At 59.3% G+C, this 22,239-nt stretch overlaps 1 protein-coding gene across 6 annotated transcripts in view, besides 4 other annotated features; it reads right to left on the reverse strand.

The window, feature by feature from the left end:
- MAD1L1 (mitotic arrest deficient 1 like 1) overlaps nucleotides 1-22,239 on the reverse strand; it is a 417,151-nt gene that overhangs the window by 79,914 nt on the left and 314,998 nt on the right. For all 6 annotated transcript variants that reach the window (NM_001304524.2, NM_001304523.2, NM_001013837.2 and 3 more), the window contains one exon: nucleotides 2,492-2,682. In NM_001304524.2, coding sequence (NP_001291453.1) covers nucleotides 2,492-2,682 — 191 coding nt within the window. The remainder of the gene's footprint in view (nucleotides 1-2,491; nucleotides 2,683-22,239) is intronic.
- Nucleotides 4,930-5,790: an enhancer, noted in NCBI's record as "H3K27ac hESC enhancer chr7:1940274-1941134 (GRCh37/hg19 assembly coordinates)". NCBI's record gives its function as "activates a minimal SCP1, AML or CMV promoter by ChIP-STARR-seq in naive H9 embryonic stem cells {active_cell/tissue: H9 hESC(naive)}" and the evidence as "EXISTENCE:reporter gene assay evidence [ECO:0000049][PMID:30033119]".
- Nucleotides 15,929-16,429: an enhancer, noted in NCBI's record as "H3K4me1 hESC enhancer chr7:1951273-1951773 (GRCh37/hg19 assembly coordinates)". NCBI's record gives its function as "activates a minimal SCP1, AML or CMV promoter by ChIP-STARR-seq in primed H9 embryonic stem cells {active_cell/tissue: H9 hESC(primed)}" and the evidence as "EXISTENCE:reporter gene assay evidence [ECO:0000049][PMID:30033119]".
- Nucleotides 16,607-17,240: an enhancer, noted in NCBI's record as "H3K4me1 hESC enhancer chr7:1951951-1952584 (GRCh37/hg19 assembly coordinates)". NCBI's record gives its function as "activates a minimal SCP1, AML or CMV promoter by ChIP-STARR-seq in naive H9 embryonic stem cells {active_cell/tissue: H9 hESC(naive)}" and the evidence as "EXISTENCE:reporter gene assay evidence [ECO:0000049][PMID:30033119]".
- Nucleotides 17,241-17,874: an enhancer, noted in NCBI's record as "H3K4me1 hESC enhancer chr7:1952585-1953218 (GRCh37/hg19 assembly coordinates)". NCBI's record gives its function as "activates a minimal SCP1, AML or CMV promoter by ChIP-STARR-seq in naive H9 embryonic stem cells {active_cell/tissue: H9 hESC(naive)}" and the evidence as "EXISTENCE:reporter gene assay evidence [ECO:0000049][PMID:30033119]".

Genomic DNA, 22,239 nt, shown 5'->3' on the forward strand with positions numbered 1-22,239 from the left:
GTGGAGCACTGGGCCAGTGGACCGTCTGTCCTTCCGGAGGCGGCTGCCTCAGCTCCATGGCTTCTGACCCAGCACATCCAGCCCTCAGGACCTGCAAAGTCACATTCACACGGGCCTTGGGCCAGGACAGGCCGTGGTCCAGAAGGTCAGGTCAGGCCAGGCCTGCCACTGGAAAGAAGGGACAGCAAGGGCTGGAGGATGGGCAGTGAGGGGGCGGCCTGGGGAGGCGCCAAGGCTCCAGATCACAAGAGTCTAGGAAGGCGGGCAGGATGCCTGGCAAGAGCTGCGGGGCCCAGGCCAGACCCCTGCAGGAACCACGGCTCCTCAGGGCGAGCCCGGCCTCCCGTACGCTGTGTGTCCTTTAGGCCTGGGGCGAGCAGGGCTGGGGAGCTGGCCAGCTCCTGGGCTCTCTGTCCGCCTGCCTCCTCCTCCTGGGGCCCCCTTCCTGCCTCTCCCTGACCTCAGGAGCCTGGGGGCTGAGAGGGCTCCAAGGCGGAAAGGAGGGCAGGGGTTCCTGCCCAGGCCATGGGGGCTGAAAGTCCGGCCACTGGCAAGCTGAGGCCAGCCCAAGCCTTCTGGTCTCAACATCCTGCCATGGCTGGGATCCTGGGCGGGCGGATGAGGGCCGGGGGAGCTGAGATGCTGGCTCGAGCAGGAAGAGCGGCAGGGCCCATGCTCGAGGGTATGACGGGGATGGACCTGGTGTCCAGCAAACCTGAGGACATTGGGCAGGGCTGCGCTTCAGAAGCCCATGCAGGGCTTACAGTGGTCAAGATGCTACTTGCTGACGGTGTTTTTAAAAAGTGACACAGGAGCACACACAATGGAACCCCAGGATCCCGAGTTCCCAGGTGTAAATGAACATGCCTAGGCATGTGCCTACGTATGAAACACCGAAAGGAAACACGGCGAAGCAGGACAGCGGCCACCTTTCGCGGGAAGATGACGAGTGGCTTGCTTCCCTCTTTTGGATTTTCGACACTCTCAACAGAAAACACTGTGGAGGGTGCCCCAAGGTTCCGCTGCAGTTAGTCTTCCTAAGATTCGCTTCAACTACAGCACACGCAGGGATCCGGGGAAAACGCTGCCTCTTAATTTGTAAATGTTGATGTAACGAGTGATATGTTAAGTGATAACTGTTCATGGTACACCTTTATTAATACCTAATCATTTTAGAAACCTATGGAATTCGTATAATGCATTAAACACCTCTGTGAATTATTCAAAGTATACAGAATTATACAAAAGCGAAGAAGTACATTTCTGATAGCTTAAAGACTTGGTGTGTTTTTATTATTCAAAGGTTTGAGAGTTTCAAGAGTGTAGAAATGGATGACTGTGATCTGAGAAGCAGGAAATCCACAAGGAACGCAGAGCAAGCCCGGCACGGTGCCCCCGTGCAGCGCAGGCTGTGAAGACGGGCGGGTTGTGCAGAAGGAGGAGGAAGAGCCGGGCTAAGGCTGAATCAGACAGGCAGCGGCTCACCGCTGTGAGACGCTGACGGACATGCGTAGGCCGCACTGGGTACAGCTTTTATACAAATCAAAGTTGGTTCTCGGTTCCATAAAGACACGCAGAGGCTGCAGACTGCAGGCAGTTTAGACGCCCGTTCCAGACCACAGCAGTCCCAGGTGGGGCCCGTCTCTGCCTGTCCTCATCTCCCACAGCCACCGCCCCCTCCACCCTTCCTGAAGCAGCCACATGCCAAGACGGGGCCACGAGGTCATGCCGGGGCCACAATGCCACACCAGGCCGACGGCACCATCCTCACAAACCGGAGGTTAGCTCACCGGGGCAGTGATGAACAAGCCCCTGTTGCCCTGGGTCTCCAGCTGCTGGAGGTCCAAGTGGGGCCACCTCCACCCTGAGGGTCAACACATAACACCCCAATTTCTGCTGTTGGACCCCGCTCGCCCGAGGACTCTTCATGTCCACAACGGTGGACCCAGTCTGGCTTCACCAGCAAACCAGAAGAGCGCCTGCTGGCTCGCAGGACGCGAGTGTAGAGATGCGGCTGGCTCTCCTTTCCTCTTCTAGTCTGTCTACCTTGCCCTGTGCTGGCTTCTGGGACTGCGCTGTCCCACTGCGCAGCCTGGCATCTTGGAAGGCGTCCCCTGCCCCGGCCCCACACGGACTTCAGTCCTCCCCAGGCACCACTGCCTCTGGACACACTGACACACACGCCTACGGCCGCAGCCCTCATGGAACGAAGCCCAAGTTGCGACAGACAGAGGCTGAGAAAGTCAGGGGGACAGCCTAGGGTCTTCTGCACCCAGGAGGTCCAGGGCTGCAAAGCCACATAGGGTTGGCCCAAGGCTGAGAAGCCTCAGGGGGTGACGAGGACGGGCCAGTGCACCTCCTTCCCGCCCAGCCCTCCACACCATCCCCTTTGGACGCGAGGCTGCTCCTTTGCTGAGGGCTACGGTCGGATCTCCCCACAGGAGGAGACAGAGAGCGAGACAGCCGGAGAGCCGTCACACGCAGGACCCACCTTGAAGATGAGGCAGTCGCCTGGGTGCTCGGCGTACAGCGAGGTCAGCCGGTACTGGTTCTCCGTGGTGATGTCGATCTGGTAGCCGGTGAGCGTGTAGCAGGCCTTGCGGAACTCCTGGATCTTGGTCTGGAAAACCTCCTTGAGCCGCTGGTTCTTCAGCTCGGCACTCTCCACCTGCTTCTTCAGCTCTGCGGGAGGGACGGAAGGAGACAGTGAGTGCGGCACCAGGCCGGAGGGGTGGGGACCCGGGAGCGGCCAGGGCAGGGAGGAAGCCGAGTACAGGTGGGAGTGGCGGCTGCCCAGGGACACAGCAAGCCCCCGTGTCACACCAGCCAGCCTCCATCGGCATGCATGAGGGAACGGGAGTGAGGGGTGAGCTGATAACGGCTGACCCTCTGGTGGTGGCAATAATAAAGTTACTGCATTAAGAACGGTAACTCTGAGAGCCAGACTACAAGCAGCCAGGGCCCCTCCACAGGGATCAGCCCTCGGCCTGCAGAATGACAACCCCTGGAGCCAGCACAGTCACTGCCAGGAAGCCACAGGGTCAGGAAGCCACAGGGTCAGGCGTGACTCGGGGTTCGCTTGCCCCAACACTCCGGGGATTTAGGCGAGAACCGCGTGAGGAGCCGGTGCTGAGGATGTGGGTCCCAAAGCGAAGGCCTGGGCTGCCACGCCACCCAGTGATCCTGACCATCCATTCCCAGGTTGCCGCCTGGGTCCTTTCTGAGGCTGGACGCCTACCCCACAGGAGCCAGCACCGACAAACAGGGAGGCAGGCAGGAGGCCACCGGGACGTTCCGGATCCTACTGCCCCGGGGCTTTACCTGCCAGCCACCTCTGAGGTCAGGCCATCGTGAGACGACAGCCGGCACCCCCAGGCCCACTGCCCCTGACATGGCTCTAAGTGACTATTCAGGGTACAGCCCCACACCCTGCCCGTCAGAGTTTACGGCTGCTTGGGGAGGAACTGCTCTGCAGAGCCATCAGGAGGATAACAGCGATTATCATGAATTTCTCACCCGAGAGGCCTTCCAAGTAGTTAAACCTCGATTTATCCCCGCGTTAATTATCAGGACTGGCTCCACTTAGACGCACACAGAGCCGTCCCCTAGGCCGGGTGCTTCCCAGCAGTGCTGTCTGGAGCTGGCAATGGGGAGCCCTCCAGGGGCCTGGGACTGCTCCAGGCGGGGACGGGAGCCTGCTGGACCCTATCCTGCAGGCCACGGGAGCTGGGCCAGCTGCTAGCCTCCCTCCACTATGACGAGGGACTGAATCACAGGACTGCTGTAGGCGCCCACAACCAGGCACGGGATGGTCAGCTCCCTGGCTAGGCTGAGAAAGAGGATGTTAAAGTCAACCATGGCCATATGGTTGGAGAGAACAAGGGTTCCAACTCCAGGCAGCGCCCGGGGGGAGGCTGGTCCTGAGTTAGAGATGAGTCTGAAGGCCCCAGAAAGGGTGTGGGGTCCCCCACAGTCCACTCTAGGGGAGTGTGAGGAAAGGTGCAGTGTGAGTGCCTGCTGGCCAGGTCACAGTGAGTGAGAGAGGGGCTGCCGGGGAGTTTGTGCACAGCGGCCCGAAGAGGCTCTGATGGGCCAGTTTAAGGTGGACGATGCAGTCCAGGTTGCTTCCTGGAGGTGAGCAGGGACAGGGGAGCCAGGTGCAAACCAGAAGCCCTCAAGTCTGCAGAGGAAGATGGAGGACGCGGGAGGGGCCGCGGTTTCAGCTCGGCTCTGCCTCCCTGACCTGTGACTCTGAACCTACCCCTTCACCCCATCTCCCAGGACTTCTGCCTGCAACACGGACACAGGCAGGCAGCTGCCTTCAGAGGTGTTAGGCCAGATCACGTGCCGGAGGCCACCGCCGAGAGCGCAGGGCCGCTGGGCACCCCCGATGGCGTGAGCTCAGTCGAGCAGCCCGTTCCGAGTGCAAGCTCACTCACTGCCTGGCTATGACAGCTATGAACACGATCCGATCCCCAATCCACACACAATGACACCCAGGCTCACAGAGACTCGCTGCTTAGCTGCAAAAGCAAGGGCGCTGCCTGCCATGGGTTCTGGAAGGAGCAGCGGTGCAGGGACCACGTTAGCAGCATCCAGATGTCAGGGGCTGGGAGGATATGGGGCCTGTACAACCGCAGGCCTGTCAGCAGAGGGGCCCTGGCGCCCATCCACCTGTGGGATGGCAGCATTGGCACTGATTCAGCCCTCGCCCCAACCTGGCCTCCTCCCTCCGTTGCTGGCAAAGACGGCCCTGGGGGACACTGTTATTCCACGGCCCAGCCCCTCCAGCAGGACGAGGCTGGGGCCCTTGATGAATCGAGCAATCAGGCTGTGAAATCTGAAGGCTAATTGGCAGCTCTGACCCCAAGACTCTTCCCTGCGTCCCTCGGCTGATCCTCCCGAAGATGGGGCTATCGGTAGCAGGAATTGCCACGTGCACAAGGAAGAACGCAGAGACCACATTTCAGAGGCCATATTTCACCCTAACATGGCCCGTGCTGCCTTTGATAGATCTCAGGCGTCCAAAGGGGAAGAATTAGATTTTGGTAATAAATGCAAGCCTGACCTTGGAGAAGGAAACAGCCCTGTTTTCCGATAGACTTCAAAGCTGCCTGTGCCGCTCACAGACCTCTGGAAGTTCCGGGGCTCCAGGCTGTGTTTGCCCACCCATAGCAGGTTGGTATGAGGTCCCAGGGCGAGGAAGGCAGTGTGTGGGGCCCCCTCTCAGAGGCGAGACCACCACCCATGCGGCTGGGAGCAGCATGGGCCGCCGCACTCACTCCTGGGGCCACTCTCTCACCCTCTGACAGACAAACCCAGGGCCCTGGAGGGGAAGGGTCCATCCTCCATGCCACACAGACCCTCGGAGGTGAGGGGGCCCTGATCCTGGTCTCCTGTCCACGTAGGGAAGGGTCCATCCTCCAGACAAGGCTGCCTCGACGGAGTCGGTTCAGTTTGGGGCAGATCAAGCCAGCGTTCTGACCCCCCTTTATCCCTGTAGTTCAGTGGCTTACATCAACGTGAATGAATAATTCACACGATGGTTTGGATTAAATAAATAAAAGATGGGTTTTCCGCCTTGGAAATGTCATTGCTTTCTTGTCGGTTGCTCTCACGTGGTCTCCTCCCAAGTGAGCCAAGAGCCCGGGGTTCCTCTGGACTGGGTTCTATGGGCCTGGATCCTGGGCAGGCTCCTCTCAGAGACCCCAGAAGCCAGTGGCAGAGACCCCCAGGGTGAGAGGCGACAGCCCTGTGCCCGACCCCAGCCCTGGGACCACATAGGCACTGCCCAGGCTGTTCTCAGGCCCGACCTGCAACAGCAGTGCATGGGCTGAGGCGAGACAGTGGTGCAGCCTTCAGCGCTCCCATCCCCTGCCCAGCCCGGCTCGCTGTGTGCTCAAGGCCTGCTGGGCCAGGGGTGCTCAGGGAGGGAGCCCAGCTCTGCAGCCCTGCTCTCTGGGGTGGCCTCACCAAGGCTTTTAGGCCCTCTCCGCTGACCTCCAGGGCTACCCCAGGCTTAGAGCCAAACCGTAGGGAGGCCTTGAGCCCAGCCCACCCACAGCCCTGGCTCCTGCCTTCCCTGCCCGGGGATGTTGAACTCTGGCCACACTGACCAGGAGCACCTGCCTAGGAAGCAGCAACTCCCCTCTGCCTAGATACCGGCCCTCCTCGGGCCCCTCCTCCACACCCCTGGGACCCCTGCTTTGGGCAGAACCGGCCCTCTTAGAGGTACCTGCTACCACCTTGCAGGGATGCAGGGACACAGGCCTGGTACTGATGGGCTCTCAAGGCCTCGGTGAGGGGCAAGAGAGGAGGAAGAACAGCAGGTGTTCAAGTGGGAGTCAGAGAGGATGCAGCGGCGGCTGCCCAGGGCCCGGCCCAGTGGGGTGTACCAGGGGGCTGAAGGCATCCACGACACTGGTGCCTGAACAGCCACCCCCTCACCACCTTAGCCCCACACCTGCCTCCTCCTGGAATCACAGGAGGCAGCTGTGAAGAGGACAGAATAAAAATAAATTGTGCTCCATTAGGTAAAGGCTAGCTAGCAGGAAAGAGAGGCTTTACAGTACTGAGGGCCGGGATGTCAGGATAAAGGAGCATTTACAGCACTTATCTCAAGAGGCCCAGTTCACAGCCTGAAACGCAGAAAATGCTTCTACCTTGGCAGGGCAGGGAGAGCCAGCACACAGCTGTGACCCACGGGGATAGGGACAGAGATGCCGGGGCCCAGGCCTTTCAGAAGGAGGGAAAAGGAAAACGCGGTACTTTTCTCTACATCCTCTTTACTCCTTCGAGTGTTACGGGGCACACGCAGATGAGAGCAAGCAGAGAACCTTTTAAAGGTACCGACGGATCTTAGGAGTGCAGCCCCAGGGCACTGCCTGTCCACTTCCGCCCTTCCCCGGGGCCTGAGCTATACCCACGCAGAACCAGGTCGGCCGGGCTACGTGAGCCTCAGGGTGCAGGGAACCGTCTCAGGCTCCAGCCTCGCTGTACGTCCTGCAGTGGGAAGGAGGACCCAGCAGCAGGCACCGTTCCAGAAAGCAAGGACGCAGTGGCCTACGGAAGACGATCTTGCGGAACTCATGATTGATGAAGCACTGTTCCAGGCAGCAAGGATGCAGTGGCCTATGGAAGACGCTCTTGCGGAACTCATGATTGATGAAGCACTGTTCCAGGCAGCGAGGATGCAGTGGCCTATGGAAGACGTTCTTGTGGAACTCATGATTGATGAAGCACTGTTCCAGGCAAGCGAGGACCCAGTGGCCTACAGAAGACGCTCTTGCGGAACTCATGATTGATGAAGCACTGTTCCAGGCAGCGAGAATGCAGTGGCCTATGGAAGACACTCTTGTGGAATTCATGATTAATGAAGCACTGTTCCAGGCAGCGAGGACGCAGTGGCCTATGGAAGACGCTCTTGCGGAACTCATGATTGATCCAGCACTGTTCCAGGCAGCAAGCACACGGTGGCCTATTGAAGACGCTCCTGCGGAACTCATGATTGATGAAGCACTGTTCCAGGCAGTGAGGACGCAGTGGCCTACGGAAGACACTCTTGCGGAATTCATGATTGATGAAGCACTGTTCCAGGCAGCGAGGACGCAGTGGCCTACGGAAGACACTCTTGCGGAACTCATGATTGATGAAGCACTGTTCCAGGCAGCGAGGACACAGTGGCCTATGGAAGACGTTCTTGCGGAACTCATGATTGATGAAGCACTGTTCCAGGCAGCGAGGATGCAGTGGGCTACTGAAGACGCTCTTGCGGAACTCAAGATTGATCAAGCACTGTTCCAGGCAGCGAGGACGCAGTGGCCTATGGAAGACGCTCTTGCAGAATTCATGATTGATGAAGCACTGTTCCAGGCAGCGAGCACGCAGTGGCCTATTGAAGAAGCTCTTGCAGAACTCATGATTGATGAAGCACTGTTCCAGGCAGTGAGGACGCAGTGGCCTATGGAAGACGCTCTTGCGGAACTCATGATTGATGAAGCACTGCTCCAGGCAGCAAGGATGCAGTGGCCTATGGAAGACGCTCTTGCAGAATTCATGATTGATGAAGCACTGTTCCAGGCAGTGAGGACACAGTGGCCTATGAAAGATGCTCTTGCAGAACTCATAATTGATCAAGCACTGTTCCAGGCAGCGAGGACGCAGTGGCCTATGGAAGATGCTCTTGCGGAACTCATGATTGATCAAGCACTGTTCCAGGCAGCGAGGACGCAGTGGCCTACGGAAGACACTCTTGCGGAACTCATGATTGATGAAGCACTGTTCCAGGCAGCGAGGACGCAGTGGCCTATGGAAGACGTTCTTGTGGAACTCATGATTGATGAAGCACTGTTCCAGGCAGCGAGGATGCAGTGGCCTACTGAAGACGCTCTTGCGGAACTCAAGATTGATCAAGCACTGTTCCAGGCAGCGAGGACGCAGTGGCCTATGGAAGACGCTCTTGCAGAATTCATGATTAATGAAGCACTGTTCCAGGCAGCGAGCACGCAGTGGCCTATTGAAGAAGCTCTTGCGGAACTCATGATTGATGAAGCACTGTTCCAGGCAGTGAGGACGCAGTGGCCTATGGAAGACGCTCTTGCGGAACTCATGATTGATGAAGCACTGCTCCAGGCAGCAAGGATGCAGTGGCCTATGGAAGACGCTCTTGCAGAATTCATGATTGATGAAGCACTGTTCCAGGCAGTGAGGACACAGTGGCCTATGAAAGATGCTCTTGCGGAACTCATAATTGATCAAGCACTGTTCCAGGCAGCGAGGACGCAGTGGCCTATGGAAGATGCTCTTGCGGAACTCATGATTGATCAAGCACTGTTCCAGGCAGCGAGGACGCAGTGGCCTACGGAAGACGCTCTTGCAGAATTCATGATTAATGAAGCATTGTTCCAGGCAGCGAGGATGCAGTGGCCTATGGAAGACGCTCTTGCGGAATTCATGATTAATGAAGCACTGTTCCAGGCAGCGAGGACGCAGTGGCCTATGGAAGACGCTCTTGCGGAACTCATGATTGATCAATCACTGTTCCAGGCAGCAAGCACGCAGTGGCCTATTGAAGACGCTCCTGCGGAACTCATGATTGATCAAGCACTGTTCCAGGCAAGCGAGGACGCAGTGGCCTATGGAAGACGCTCTTGCAGAACTCATGATTGATGAAGCACTGTTCCAGGCAGCAAGGATGCAGTCGCCTATGGAAGACGTTCTTGTGGAACTCATGATTGATGAAGCACTATTCCAGGCAGCAAGGACACAGTGGCCTACGGAAGACGCTCTTGAGGAACTCATGATTGATAAAGCACTGTTCCAGGCAGCAAGGATGCAGTGGCCTATGGAAGACGTTCTTGTGGAACTCATGATTGATGAAGCACTGTTCCAGGCAGCGAGGACGCAGTGGCCTACGGAAGACGCTCTCGCGGAATTCATGATTGATGAAGCACTGTTCCAGGCAGTGAGGACGCAGTGGCCTACGGAAGACGCTCTTGCGGAATTCATGATTGATGAAGCACTGTTCCAGGCAGCGAGGACGCAGTGGCCTACGGAAGACGCTCTTGCGGAACTCATGATTGATAAAGCACTGTTCCAGGCAGCAAGGATGCAGTGGCCTATGGAAGACGTTCTTGTGGAACTCATGATTGATAAAGCACTGTTCCAGGCAGCGAGGATGCAGTGGCCTACGGAAGACGCTCTTGTGGAACTCATGATTGATGAAGCACTGTTCCAGGCAGCAAGCACGCAGTGGCCTATGGAAGACGCTCTTGCGGAACTCATGATTGATGAAGCACTGTTCCAGGCAGCGAGGACACAGTGGCCTATGGAAGACGCTCTTGTGGAACTCATGATTGATGAAGCACTGTTCCAGGCAGCGAGGACGCAGTAGCCTATGGAAGATGCTCTTGTGGAATTCATGATTGGTGAAGCACTGTTCCAGGTGCTTGGAATAGCTCTGTGGGCCTGGGCTCTGTGACCTCCCTCTGGGACCTCTCCCGTGAGTGAGGCCGGCCTGACCCCCATCTGTGTCCTGGGATGATTTTAAGAGGAACCTGGGGCTGGGCACAGTGGCTCACACCTGTAATCCCAGCACTCTGGGAGGCCAAAGCAGGCAGATTATCTGAGGTCAGGAGTTCAAGACCATCCTGGCCAACATGGTGAAACCCTGTCTCTACCAAAAATACAAAAATTAGCCGGACGTGGTGGCGCACATCTGTAATCCCAGCTACTCGGGAGGCTGAGGCAGGAGAATTGCTTGAGCCCAGTAAGCAGAGGCTGCAGTGAGCCGAGATTGCGCCACTGCACTCCACGCTGGGTGACACAGTAAGACTCCATCTCAAAAAAAAAAAAAAAAAAAAAAAGAGCCGGGGCCTAGCTGTTTACCAAGCACCCGCAGGCACCAGGCAGCACTGCCCTGAGGAGACCAGCCCCTGCACAGCTGAGGCAGCTGGCCCACGTGGGAAGACCCCACAGGAGGAAGAGACGCCAGCCCTGGTGCTTCTGTAGGGTCCCCGAACCCCAAGCAGCCTCTTCCCAGGCTGGCCTCGGTTGTGTATGCCAACACCGCTCCTGCTACCCCGTCCAGGATAACCCCGGCCATGCAGACAGATCTCCATGCTCCCACAGCAAGACTTGAGCTGAGGCAGGGCTCTCTCCTGGGATATTCATGCCCTGCTGGGTGCCCCGGCCTGGCTGCCACTGCAGCTGCATCTGGCCCTAGCCTGACCTGGTCCCAGCCCCGCCCCAGGGCCCTGAGCCACCCTCCCTTTCCAGCTGCCTCTCCTGCACCCTGCTTCTCCATCGCTCCAGTCTCTGGCTCCTGTTCTCCGCATGCTCTTTTCCTGCAGGGCACAGATTGTGGCGTCCACAGAGCTGTTTGAGATGCCTGGGCCTCACGCTCTTTCCCTGCAGTGCAACTGGGCCTCATGCTGTTTCCCTGCGGCGCACCCTGAGCTCAGGTGGGCTGGGCCAGGCCTGTGCGCACTGTCACACCTGCCCTGCACCTGAGAACCCGGAACATGGAAGTGCGCGACGGGTGCGTGTTGAACACGCAGGTGAGCGAAGCCACCATCCCCTACAGACCTGAGCTCCTGCCCCTGCGCAAGCTACACAGTCAGCTTAACCACAAGCAAGCACACACACAGCGGACGGGACACACACGCCTACTGCTGAACGTCCGTTTATCCCCGAACACGTGTGCGTCTGTCCCTGAACACCCGTGTTCATCCCTGAACATACAGCCTTCCCATGGCCTCAGATGAAAAGCCCTTAAAATCAAGGCAGGCCGAAGAGAGGCCATGCCACTGCCCCGCCCCCAAGCCCCCAACCCCATCCCTGCTGTGGCTAACAGGGTCACTGTGAGAGCCAGGGGCCTCCAGGGGCTTCAGCCTGCGAGGGGCGGTGAGGGCACCCATGGCCTCAGAGCAGCTCCCAGCTGCTCAGCCCTTGCCACGCCCCCATCCCCACTATCTCCCCACTGCCACCGCCTTGCCCCTGTCCCACGGTCCCCCAGCTCCTGCCCGACCTGGACCGGTGCCCCAGTGAGGAGCTGGCCTGGGTCTGGGCCCTGCACAGCTGCCACCGAGGACCCCAAGCCCCAGACTCTGCAGCAACTCTCGATTTAGGGACTGGAGGCAGCTTCGGAACTTTTCCTTCAGGGACTCACGGCACAGCCATTTTTCTTTCTAAACAATGAATCAAATACAGTTAACCAATGTTGGGATTTTCAGGCTTTAAAAAACCCACAAAAAGGGACTAATATTTCACCATTAAACAAGGCAGCCCCTGAGGCCCAGGCCAAGCCAGGAGGACAATCCTACTCGGCGTAGGCCCGGCCCCACTGATGACGCCGCCACGGGGCCAGGAGGAAGGGAGTGATTCCAGGCTCCATACACTGCCTGTGCGTTCACGGACAAGTCACCTCATCTCTCTAAGCCCCCTTTCCTCCCTGGGTGTGGCAGGAGTGGGGGAAACATCACCTGCCCCCGGGTCAGTGAGACAGTGGAGGCGAAAACCCTCTCGGCAATAACGTGTTCCTCTTAATAAAACACATCCCTGTGTCGTCAACAACCACTTGGCTGTCTACGGACATCACGGGTGCTCGGCGCGGGATCTGAGTGGCGGGCCTGAGTCCAGGTGTGGAGTGAGGGGGCAGTGCGGTCTGGGCCGCAAGGACACCCAAAAGATCACCTGAGCATGGTCCGGAGAGACAGGGTGACCGCCCTGGCCCCTGCAGTGTGCGGCCCCCTCAGGAGACAGCGGCCCGTGACCCCAGAGCTCAGGAGTCCGGCCAGGGCCACCCTGCAAGGGTGAGATGAAGGCTCTTAGCAGACATGGGTGACCAGACAGTACGTTTGCCCACACACGGTCCCAACGATGTAGCACAGCCTGGGCACAGCACCTTTCCCAGCTCAAAGGTTGGGATTCCAGCATGACAGGCCCAGCAAGTCTGTCCAGGCTGCTGCAGCTGGAACTGGGGACCACCTGGCTCAGGGCTGCAGCTGCCCCGCAACTCTCGCGATCATACCCTTCAGCAGGTCCCTGATGACGTGAGACAGGGAACAATGTCTGGAACCCTGCATGGCTGAAGACATCTCTACCTCACCATCAGAGCTGATGGGTAATTTGGCCAGATGCAGAATTCCAGGCTGTATACACTCCTCCTTCAGTTGTGTTTGTTTTGTTTTTTGAGACAGGGTCTCACTCTGTCACCCAGGCTGGAGTGCAGTGGCGCGATCGTGGCTCACTGTAGCCTCGAACTCCGGGGCTCAAGCAATCCTCCCACCTCAGCTTCCCAAGTAGCTGGGACCACAGGGAGCACACCACCACACTGGGCTAATATATATATTTTTAGGGTCTTTCTATGTTGCCCAGGCTGTTGTTGACCTGCGGGCCTCATGTGTGCCTCCCACAGTGTTGGGATGACGGGTGTGAGCCCCGCACCCGGCCTCTCTTTCAGTGCTGAAGGCATCGCCCTCAGGTCTCAAGTGCTCAGCACTGCTGTGGAGAAGCCTGAATCCGTTCTGACTTCTGGTCTTCTACAAGTGACTGGTTCTCACTCCCCGGAAGTAGCAGAGCCGTGTCTCTGTTCTCAACATTATGAAACTCCCCCAGCATGCATTTCTCTCATGACCCCCACCACACGGCCTGGCTCCCCCAAGTGTCTATTTCCCACCTCTCGTTAGATGTCTCCCTGGCGGCGGCTGGGCGCCTGGCATGAGCAGCGGCCCCAGGGGGTCCTGCTGGACTGTTTCTGGGAGGCTGCCAGCATTGGCATCTCCAGATCTTCCCTCTAGGATGGGTCTGATGGGTCAGAGATGACTCTCAGATGCTCAGTGCCAGTGGGAACACAGGGCAGGAGGGAACGTGCCCAGACTCGGAGCAGCGGGACCAGCCTCTGAAGGAGCCCGACACCGGCGTGGTGTACTAGTAGGTGACGCAGAGGCCTCCACATCAGGCCGAGGTCTGACCTCGACGAGAGACGACCAAGGATCCCCTGCACGCTGCGGACACAGGAAGCCAGTGGAGGCCCAGGGCTGGGGGAGCCGCCCGAGTGTCCCTGCAGAGAGTACTCTGGGCCCTGGCAGGCACTGGCAGCCCCGGTCCTGCCCAGGCCCAATGCCGAGCCAGGCTTCCCGGGACTGAATTATTCATGTTTTGCAAGCTTCTAAACTATTTCAGTTTTACATTTTTAAATATTTAATAATTAGGCATCAAATATTGATGCAATTTTATTAGCAGCCATGGGCATGGGGCATTGCAGTGGTTATGGCTGTGCGATTTGTATCCGGGTCCTGGCTGGCTCTGCAAGAGACTGTAGGAGGTGGGGACGCACCTGTAGGCTGGCCGGGACCCCCCGGGATGTCACCCGTGAGAACCGTACCCCAGCATGCCCCACAGCGCCCCACCTGGCTCATCCCAGGGGCTGCCGGCCCCAAATCCAAATTCCCGGAGACCAGCCCGAGGGGCTGGCAGGCATCATGGTCCCCAGGAACTGGCTTTGGCAACAGGAGGATGGGACGCCACCACCTGCCAGCCAGGGCCTGCTGCTGCCCCAAGAAGATGGTCGCTTCAACTCTGCTGGTACCAGACGGCCCTTGAGACACGGCCTCCATGATGAGCCATGAGTTCCCCTGCTGGGCAGAAACTGCACACTCTGCTCCAGTGAGAAGACACTCGCCCTGGAATTACACACGGAGGAGCCGCTCCCTGGCCCACCACCTGGCAGGCGCTGGCTGGGTGAGCTCTGTGCAGCTTTCAAACAGGGCACCTCTTGTGTGATTAACGACTTACTCCAGCAAGCAGCTTGTCACCTTGCACAAAACTGATATGAAAAGACACCAGCAATTACAGCCACCAGATTACGGGGTGGGAGAGTCCTGGGGTGACAGGCGGGCGCGGATATCATATTTGGAGAAGAATCCTCCCCCAGCACCGAGAACACAGCAGCTGAACCCCAAGGGACAGCCCCCTCCCCCGGCACCAGGCTCCACAGCCCCCATGGGGTCCTTCGGCAGCAGAGGCCCAGCGGAACCTTGGCGGAAGGAGGGACATTGGCCCCCGTGTCAGTGATCCTCCGGACACCCTGCATATGTGGGGGGACGTGGCACCTGCTGAATGGACAGAAAGATGCCTGCAGGAGGCCAGAATCCAGCTCCACGGTCTCTGGCCAGCAACAGGACTACAGGGAGGGCTGGTCGCAGCAGCCGTCCGACGCGTCAGCACAGGGCCACCTCTGCGATGCCAGCACTGTTGAGGGGACCCCTTGAACACCCGCCGCGGAGCCAAAGCTGGAGCCCACGCTGGGCACTGCCCTGGGGGCTGAGCAGCTGTCTCCATTGGTCATTCAGGCTTCAGTTCAGAAAAGCCTCCCTGGGCCACCCCCACCAGTGGTCTTCTGGGCACCCCACATTTGCTTTCTCCCTAGAGCTCACGAGCATCTGAGATCGCGTGTTTGCCCGTGTCCTGGCCTCTCTTCCACCTGGAACACGTTCGTCAGGTGAGAGCCTGCTCGGGCTTTGAGTAGGTGCCTGTCCGGGGCAGGAACACGCAGCCTCGCTGCACCCATCCCAGCCGGGCCCCGCCCTGGGGAGCATGGCTACGTTTGTCCCCACCTTCTGGATGGGGAAACCGACGATGAGAAAGCAGGGAGAGGGCTCCCTGTGACGCCAGTCAGGCGGGACATGGGCTCCAGCATGGCGATGTGGGGCCACAGTGTCTCTCTCCTGACCCCCAACCCTGCACCCATCCCGTGACCGGAGGCCCTGGCGGGGCCTGGTCTGGGCGCATCAGTCCTTTCAAGTGGCCTCAGCTGCCTGTGCCCACAGCCCTGATTAGCCGTGAGGATTCATAACTGCAGGCGTGCCTCATGTCTAAGTGCTACTCCCACAGTTCCCGCTCCTGGGCGGCCGCCTCTCCCTCCATCCCCCGCACCCCTTGAGCCAGACAACTTGAGTTGCCTTCGGCCTTCCTGGATTCAGCACTCAACACCCGCTGGACACCAGGTTTCAACGCTCTGTCCTCACCAACCCTCCCTGGCACCACCTCTGCTCGGGGTCTTTCTTTACTAGAGTCCAAATTCTACTTCCTGTCACCCTCCTCTCCCTCCTCCTCAGGCCCCAGGGGTCTTTCTTTTGACGCAGAGCCCAGCTTCGGAAGGGGAGCACTGCCCCCGGCGCAGTCACTTGCAGAGTCAGAGCCCAGCTTCGGAAGGGAAGCGCCATTGCCCAGCACAGTCACTCGTGTGCAGCCCAGGTGTTCTGTCCTCTGCCGCTACAAGTCCACAGTCCTCCCAGACACCCCAGGCACACTCAGAACGCATGGTGCTCATTTCTGCTGCCACAATGTGGCGGGCACATTTGCCTTCTGCCAGGGGACGATGTTCACCAGCGAACTTCTGCAAGGCCAGACTCCGGCGTCACCTCCAGATGAGGCCCCTCTTGGGCATCCCAACCCTCTCCAGTCCGGCGTCACCTCCAGAACAGGCCCCTCTTGGGCATCCCAACCGTCTCCAGTCTGGCGTCACCTCCAGATGAGGCCCCTCTTGGGCATCCCAACCCTCTCCAGTCCGGCGTCACCTCCAGATGAAGCCCCTCTTGGGCATCCTATCCCTCTCCCCTGGACTGGGTCTGAACCTCTGCGGCACACACACGCCTTTCCAGCTGCGGCCACCTTTGCAGGGCTGCTTCCCTCACTGTGTGAGCTGCCTGAAGGCAGGGGCTGGGCCTCACCTGTCCAACCCGCCCTCCATGCAGCTGCAGGGCAGAAGTGGTGGGAGTGGGCTGGGTTCCACATCCCCTCAGACACTTGTCGGGGGTCTGGGGGCTGACGGGAACCATGGCCAAACCCAGAAGTCTGCAGGAGTACACATAGCTGTCGGGATAGTTTCCTTCTGACCCAAAATCCTGAAGTGGGGGAAACTGGGGTGGCAGGGGTCCAGATGGCGGCAGGGGCCCTGCGTGCGGGTACAGACCCCAGAACCAGCCAGCTCCGTGTGTGTCAGCAGTGGAAACCGCAAGGCCAGCCCTGTCGACTGGATGAAGGATGGCCATCTGAGAGACAGACAGCAAATGGGGGCATGTGTGGCTCAAAAGGAAAACTTAACCTATCCTTTTGGGGAACATGAGCTGAGAAACTCTGGTAAAAGGAAGCAGTTGGGGTCAGAGGTGACTCCTCCTGTTTGGGTGAGGTGAGGCAGGCGGCAGGTGTGGGCACCAGGAGAGATAAGAATGGGTGGCCACTGCAGAGACTGCAGGCCCTGCACGGAGATGCCAGCCCACAGAGGGCAAGGGGTGCCCATCCTCTCACGGCTCCTCCTGGCACAGGCAGGGCTGCGGTCCCTGCCGCCGATGCATCAGAGCCACCGGGACCCTGTGCTCCCCATCCCTGCACCAGTGGGGGAACGGTCCTCAGAGCACTCCCCTCTCATCCCACCAGCTCCAGGCAGACCCAGCCTCACAGGCCCACAGCCAGGGCCCCTGTGCAGGCAGGGAGCCCACCGCGCACGCACCTCCCAGAGCCAGAAACACTCCAGAGGGAGCAGTGCCCCACAGCGATATCACAGCCGAGTCAAGACGTGACCACAGAACACGGCCACCTCATCTGTTTCCGGAAGCTTCCCTCCAGGAACATGCCCAGCAGCTGGTCCGTGGAGAGAGGCCTGGGGTGGCGGCGGCGAGGTCCTGGGAGACGTGGGGGCGGGGCTGTGTGGGCTCCGGCCGCTTTGCATGCCGCGTTCATGATTAATTTCCCACCGAGGCTTGCAGAACCTCAGCTCCCCGGCAGGCGAGCCCCCTCTGAGAAGAGGGAAGCCTTTCCAGAGCTCATCTTTTATTGACTGGGTCATTTTCGAGTCAATCTGTCTGCTTTCGGCAAGACGAGAGTTTTAAATCTCCTGTCTCTTTTCCCCTTTTGGAGATGTGGCAGTCTATGAAAACCTGCTAATGTAGGCAGCGAGGCCTCGGATTCCTATGTAATGAACTCTTCAGATAGCAGGAGACTCGGGAAGAGGACACGGAACTGCTCCAGTAATTGGAGCAGCCAGACACAGGGCTCTGGAAGGAGAGGGGCAAGGAGCAGGGTTCTGGGCGGGGTGGGTGCAGGGAGGACCCCTGAGTGCTGAGGAGCACTCCACCCGGAGGAAGCGGCCTGGGGTGGCGTGGGGTGGGGGATCCATCAGGGCAGACGGGCTCTGCATGAGGAGGAATCCGCGCGTGCACGCCCGGCCTGGAGAAGGGAACCGTCGGGGGAGGCTCTCTGAGGCCAAAGGCTTTACCTTCTGGGAGCTGTAGCGGCAGCCAGGCCCCTTGCTCCCCCAGGTCCTGGAGATGGCCCTGGCGTCCTGGGGGTTGGCGTGGGGTCAGCAACCTGGGACCTCGCAGGGGCTCTGGCTCTAGAAGTGGCGGGGAGGGGGAGCCCTCGGCTGACACCATGAGGATTTCATGATTTACAGCTGCTATGGGGGGAGGGAGAGCAGCCCCCAGTGGCCTCTCCCCCAGGACAAAGCTGAGGCTGAGAGGGAAGCAGCTGGTCGGGGACACAGCAGAGCCACTGGGGCTGCAATGCAGGCCGTCCGGATTCCGTGGGGAGTGGAGGGGAGGCTCCCTGGCTGCCTCCGCCATACAGACTTCACCCCTATGGGAAGAATCCTGCAGGAAACGCCACAGACTCAGTCATGCCCCCTCACAGTTCCTCCTGGGCCCTGCTTGGAGTCCTGGGTGGCCACGCTGGAGGGAACGCCCCATGTCCTGCTGGACGCCATGCTGGGGGGGGAGAGGGTAGACAAGCTCCCAGGGCAGCGTGGGCAGGTCTCCCCCCCCAGCACGCCTGTCCACCTCTCCTCTCCTGCAAGCCCAGGCACCGCGTCCAGGTCCCAGGCCCGACCCCACAATGGGGGACATACTCTCCACTCTGCCACACGCCCTCACTGGCTCTTCCCAGCCCCCTCCCCTGGCCAGTGCTGGCCTGGAGGCCTCAGGACCTGGGAGTCGGAAGGAGGAGATGGCGCTGTGATGGGTGGCAGGAGACCAGACAGGCATCAGCAAGCGGTGGCTATGCCTGGGCCCAGGACCGCACGTGGGAAGGGACTCTGCAGATGTGTCCGGGGCAGGGATGGTGAGACCACGGGCGTTCCTGCATTATCCTGGTGGCCCGCTACAATCACGCGGGTCTTCACACGTCAGAAAGGGAGGCAGGAAAGTCGGCTAGAGATCCGAAGATGTGCGCTCCGGCTCTGAGGGTGGAGGAAAGGCCGTGTGCCAAGGCACGTGGGTGCTTCTGGGAGCCAGAAAAGGCCGGATGTGGATTCTCCCCAGAGCCTCTGAAACGAACCGGCCCTGATGACCCCTGGCCTTTAGCCCAGGGAAACGTGTGACTTCCAGAACCCGAGATCACATCGTGTTGAGTTTTTGGTTTGTTTTTTTGAGACGAGGTCTCACTATGTTGCCCAGGGTAGCGAACAGGGGTGCGATCACAGCTCACTGTGGCCTTGACCTCCCAGGCCCAAGCCATTGTCCTGCCTCAGCCTCCAGAGTAGCTGGGATTACAGGCAGGTGCTACCACACCCGGCTAATTATTATTATTATTTTTATAAATAGGGTCTTGCTATGCTGCCCAGGCTGGTCTCCAACCGAGCCTCTGGCAATCCCCTGTACCTGGGCCTCCCAAAGCGTTGGGATGACAGGCATGAGTGCCGCGCCGGCCCTGCTGTGTTGAGTAACTCAGTCAGTGCTGGTTTGTCATGGCAGCAACAGGAGCCTCATGCGGTGGCATCTAAGGATAGTGTGGGCCTCTGGTTTTCCAGAGCCGAGCCCTCCCTGCTGGGCCACAGAGCAGCAGGAACTGGGGTCTCACTGGGAGCAACCCTGGTGCCAGGGTCCTCAGAAGCGCTGCTCAGCTATTCATTCACCCAGCAGGTATGTGTGGAGAGGTGCTGGGCGCCTGGTAACACCCCAGGCCCTGAGGACACAGTGTGTATGGAGAGATGAACCCCCTGCCCTAATGGATGTTGCTTTTCAACTAGGGAAACAGATAAAAAATAAACGAAGTGCAACAGTAGCACCTTGGAGCGGAAGTGCTACAGAGAACCGCAGCCGGGAGGGACGGGGAGATGGGAGGGGGAGGGCTGCGGTCCGAAAAGGCGTCCTGGCAGCACCTGGCTGGGAAGGAGACCTGGGGCAGACTTAGGGGAAAAGCCACGCGCTTCCCGGGACAGAAAGCTGCAGGGCCAGGGGACGGCGCAGGCAGAGGTGCTGAGGACGGTCAGGGGCAGCGAGGAACGCCACAGGAGGCCGACGCGGGACGTACGTGGAGCGGTGTTCCACGGCGGGCTGGAGGACGCACGCTGCCTGCCTCCAAGTCTCACAGTCAAGGAAGGACCGATGGTCGGCTGCGTGGGACTGCTGCGGGTACAAGCAAATGTGTCGCCGGCACAGAAGACAGCCAGGACGAAATGTTCAGCGTTGAGTGCTTTTCAAAAAGCAAGTGAAAGCAACTCCACGGGGAAAGAAAAGTCTTTTCCGCCAGCGGGGCCAAAACGACCCAATGTCCACACGGAGACAGTGAGATGTGGACCTCCCCTCACGCCACGAACAGAACCAGCGGGATAAGGGGCTTAGTCTAAGGTCGATTCAACACTGGGGTCAGCAGGGAATTCTTGGGACAAAGCACTACCACCATCACTACCACAGGAAAAAGTGATTCGTTATACTTCATCGAGATTTAAAACTGCTTATCAAAAGAAAGCATTGAGAAAATGATGAGAACACAATCCAGTCGAAAATGGCAGGGATTTAAGTAGGTATTTTGCAGAAGATGACCTAGGAGAGGCTAACAAGCCACGTCGGTGCCCATCATCCTCACCTGTGAGGAAGTGCAGGCATCCCCACACACTCCGCACCCACCAGTGGGGCTGTGGTCAGAAAGAGAGATGCCACCAACACCGGGAGGGTGTGGGGCCCCTGGAGCCTCACGTGGGACATGCAAACGGGTGAAGCCGCCTCGGAAACCGTAAGGCAGCTCCTCTCCTCCCTAGAATGTGGAAATTCCCCTCCCGTCTGGAGGAACGAAAACTGTATCCACACAAAGACTTGTACCCAAACGTCCACAACGTCCACAGCATGACTCATGACAGCCAAAAAGTGGAACCACCCAGACGTCCCTCAGCTGAGGACTGGATGAGTGAATTGTGGTCCGTCTGTGCTAGGCAGCACGCTGGGCAGTACAGAAAGAGGAGCAAAACACACGTCATGGCACGAGGCGGGGACAGCACGCTGGGCGGTATAGAGAGAGGAGCAAGTCACACGCCAGAGCATGAGGCATGGCGGGGGAGGCGGGGACACACGCCCAGCAGACAGTGAGCCCTCAAGGAAGGGACTCGACTTAGCCCCTCGGACTACGCATACCCTCCAGGCCCTGCAAGGGAGTCAGCAGCTGCCCAGGCCAGGCCTGGGGGATGATCACTGGCGGGGAGATGAATTCGTGTCCATGCCCTGTGCTGCGGGTGTCTTGTTGCCTCCCTGCAGCTCCCCTCCCTCATGAGTAGAAATGACAGTAGTCCCGATCCCACGGTGGGGGCCAGGCTGGGCTCCCAGGAACTCCACTGCATGAACAGCCCGGGCACCCCCATTTGCCTACCAGGCACGACCCTGGCGCATCTCCCGAGCCAGCGAGAAGCGAGACCAGGGCACCCCCATTCACCTACGAGGCACGACCCTGGCACATCTCCCATGCCAACGAGAACCGAGGCTGGGGCTGGCAGAGGACACGGCTTCTCCAGTGTCCTCCAGTCATCACAGCATCTTGTGACAGGAATGTCCTCCACTCCCCACTGCAGTTTTCCTCCTGCTTTTCCAGGACAAGGATGCCCACAGCTCGAGGTTGGTTACCCTCCCTGGACCAGGCACCCAGTTCCCTCCATCCATGTGCCCCAGGGCCGAGCGTCCAGGCGATGCTCAGAACACACACGGACAGAACAGTGTGGGCTTGGCGCTGGGGTCCAGCGAGGGAGCCGCGGCATGGAGCCACCCGCCCTGCACTGCCAGCACATGGGCCTCCCGCTCGGCTGCCCACCTAGCATGCAGACCACCCAGCCCTGCACACGTGCGCTGTGCTCACAGGAGCCTCATGACAGCCTGGGGCATGAGGGGCCACACCCCTGACCAGAGATAAGGACATGGGGGCCGAGACAGGGCTGGGTGCCCACCCCGGGTGAAGGGCGCACCTCCCCTCCAGACAGCCAGAGCTCCCAGCAGCGCCGCCCCTCTCCGCCCTCAGCACCGCCTGGCCGGGGCTCAGGGGAAGCGCCTGTTGGATGTGTCAGGCACTGAAGAGCTCCCACTTCAATCAGGTTTAAATGCAACTGTGAAGAAATCCCTAATTGGGTACTTGGCTTGAGTTACAAGCAAAGTTTACAGACGTGCCAGAAAGAAAGAGGAGAGAAGAAGGGTGTCGCGGCGACGGAGCTGCTTGCCACGGCTGGGGACCGTAGCAAGAGCAAGAGGGCTCCTCAGCAGTCCCTGTGGCTGGCACACGCTGCCCGGGCGTGTGGCCGTGCACAGCCAGGACAGAGAAGTCATCCTGGGCACTTCTGCCAGACACAGCAGGAAGGGTGGGGCCACCTGGCTGTGCCAGGAACATTCTTACCTATCTCTGGTTCCCCAGGAAGACAAAGCCCCCAGAGCAGCAAAGAGAAGGGCTAGCGGGGACGGAGGGCGGCCCTGACTGTGTTGCATCAGGCCC

This window comes from Homo sapiens, chromosome 7 (genome assembly GCF_000001405.40).
Source record: "Homo sapiens chromosome 7, GRCh38.p14 Primary Assembly".
Lineage (NCBI taxonomy): Eukaryota > Metazoa > Chordata > Mammalia > Primates > Hominidae > Homo > Homo sapiens.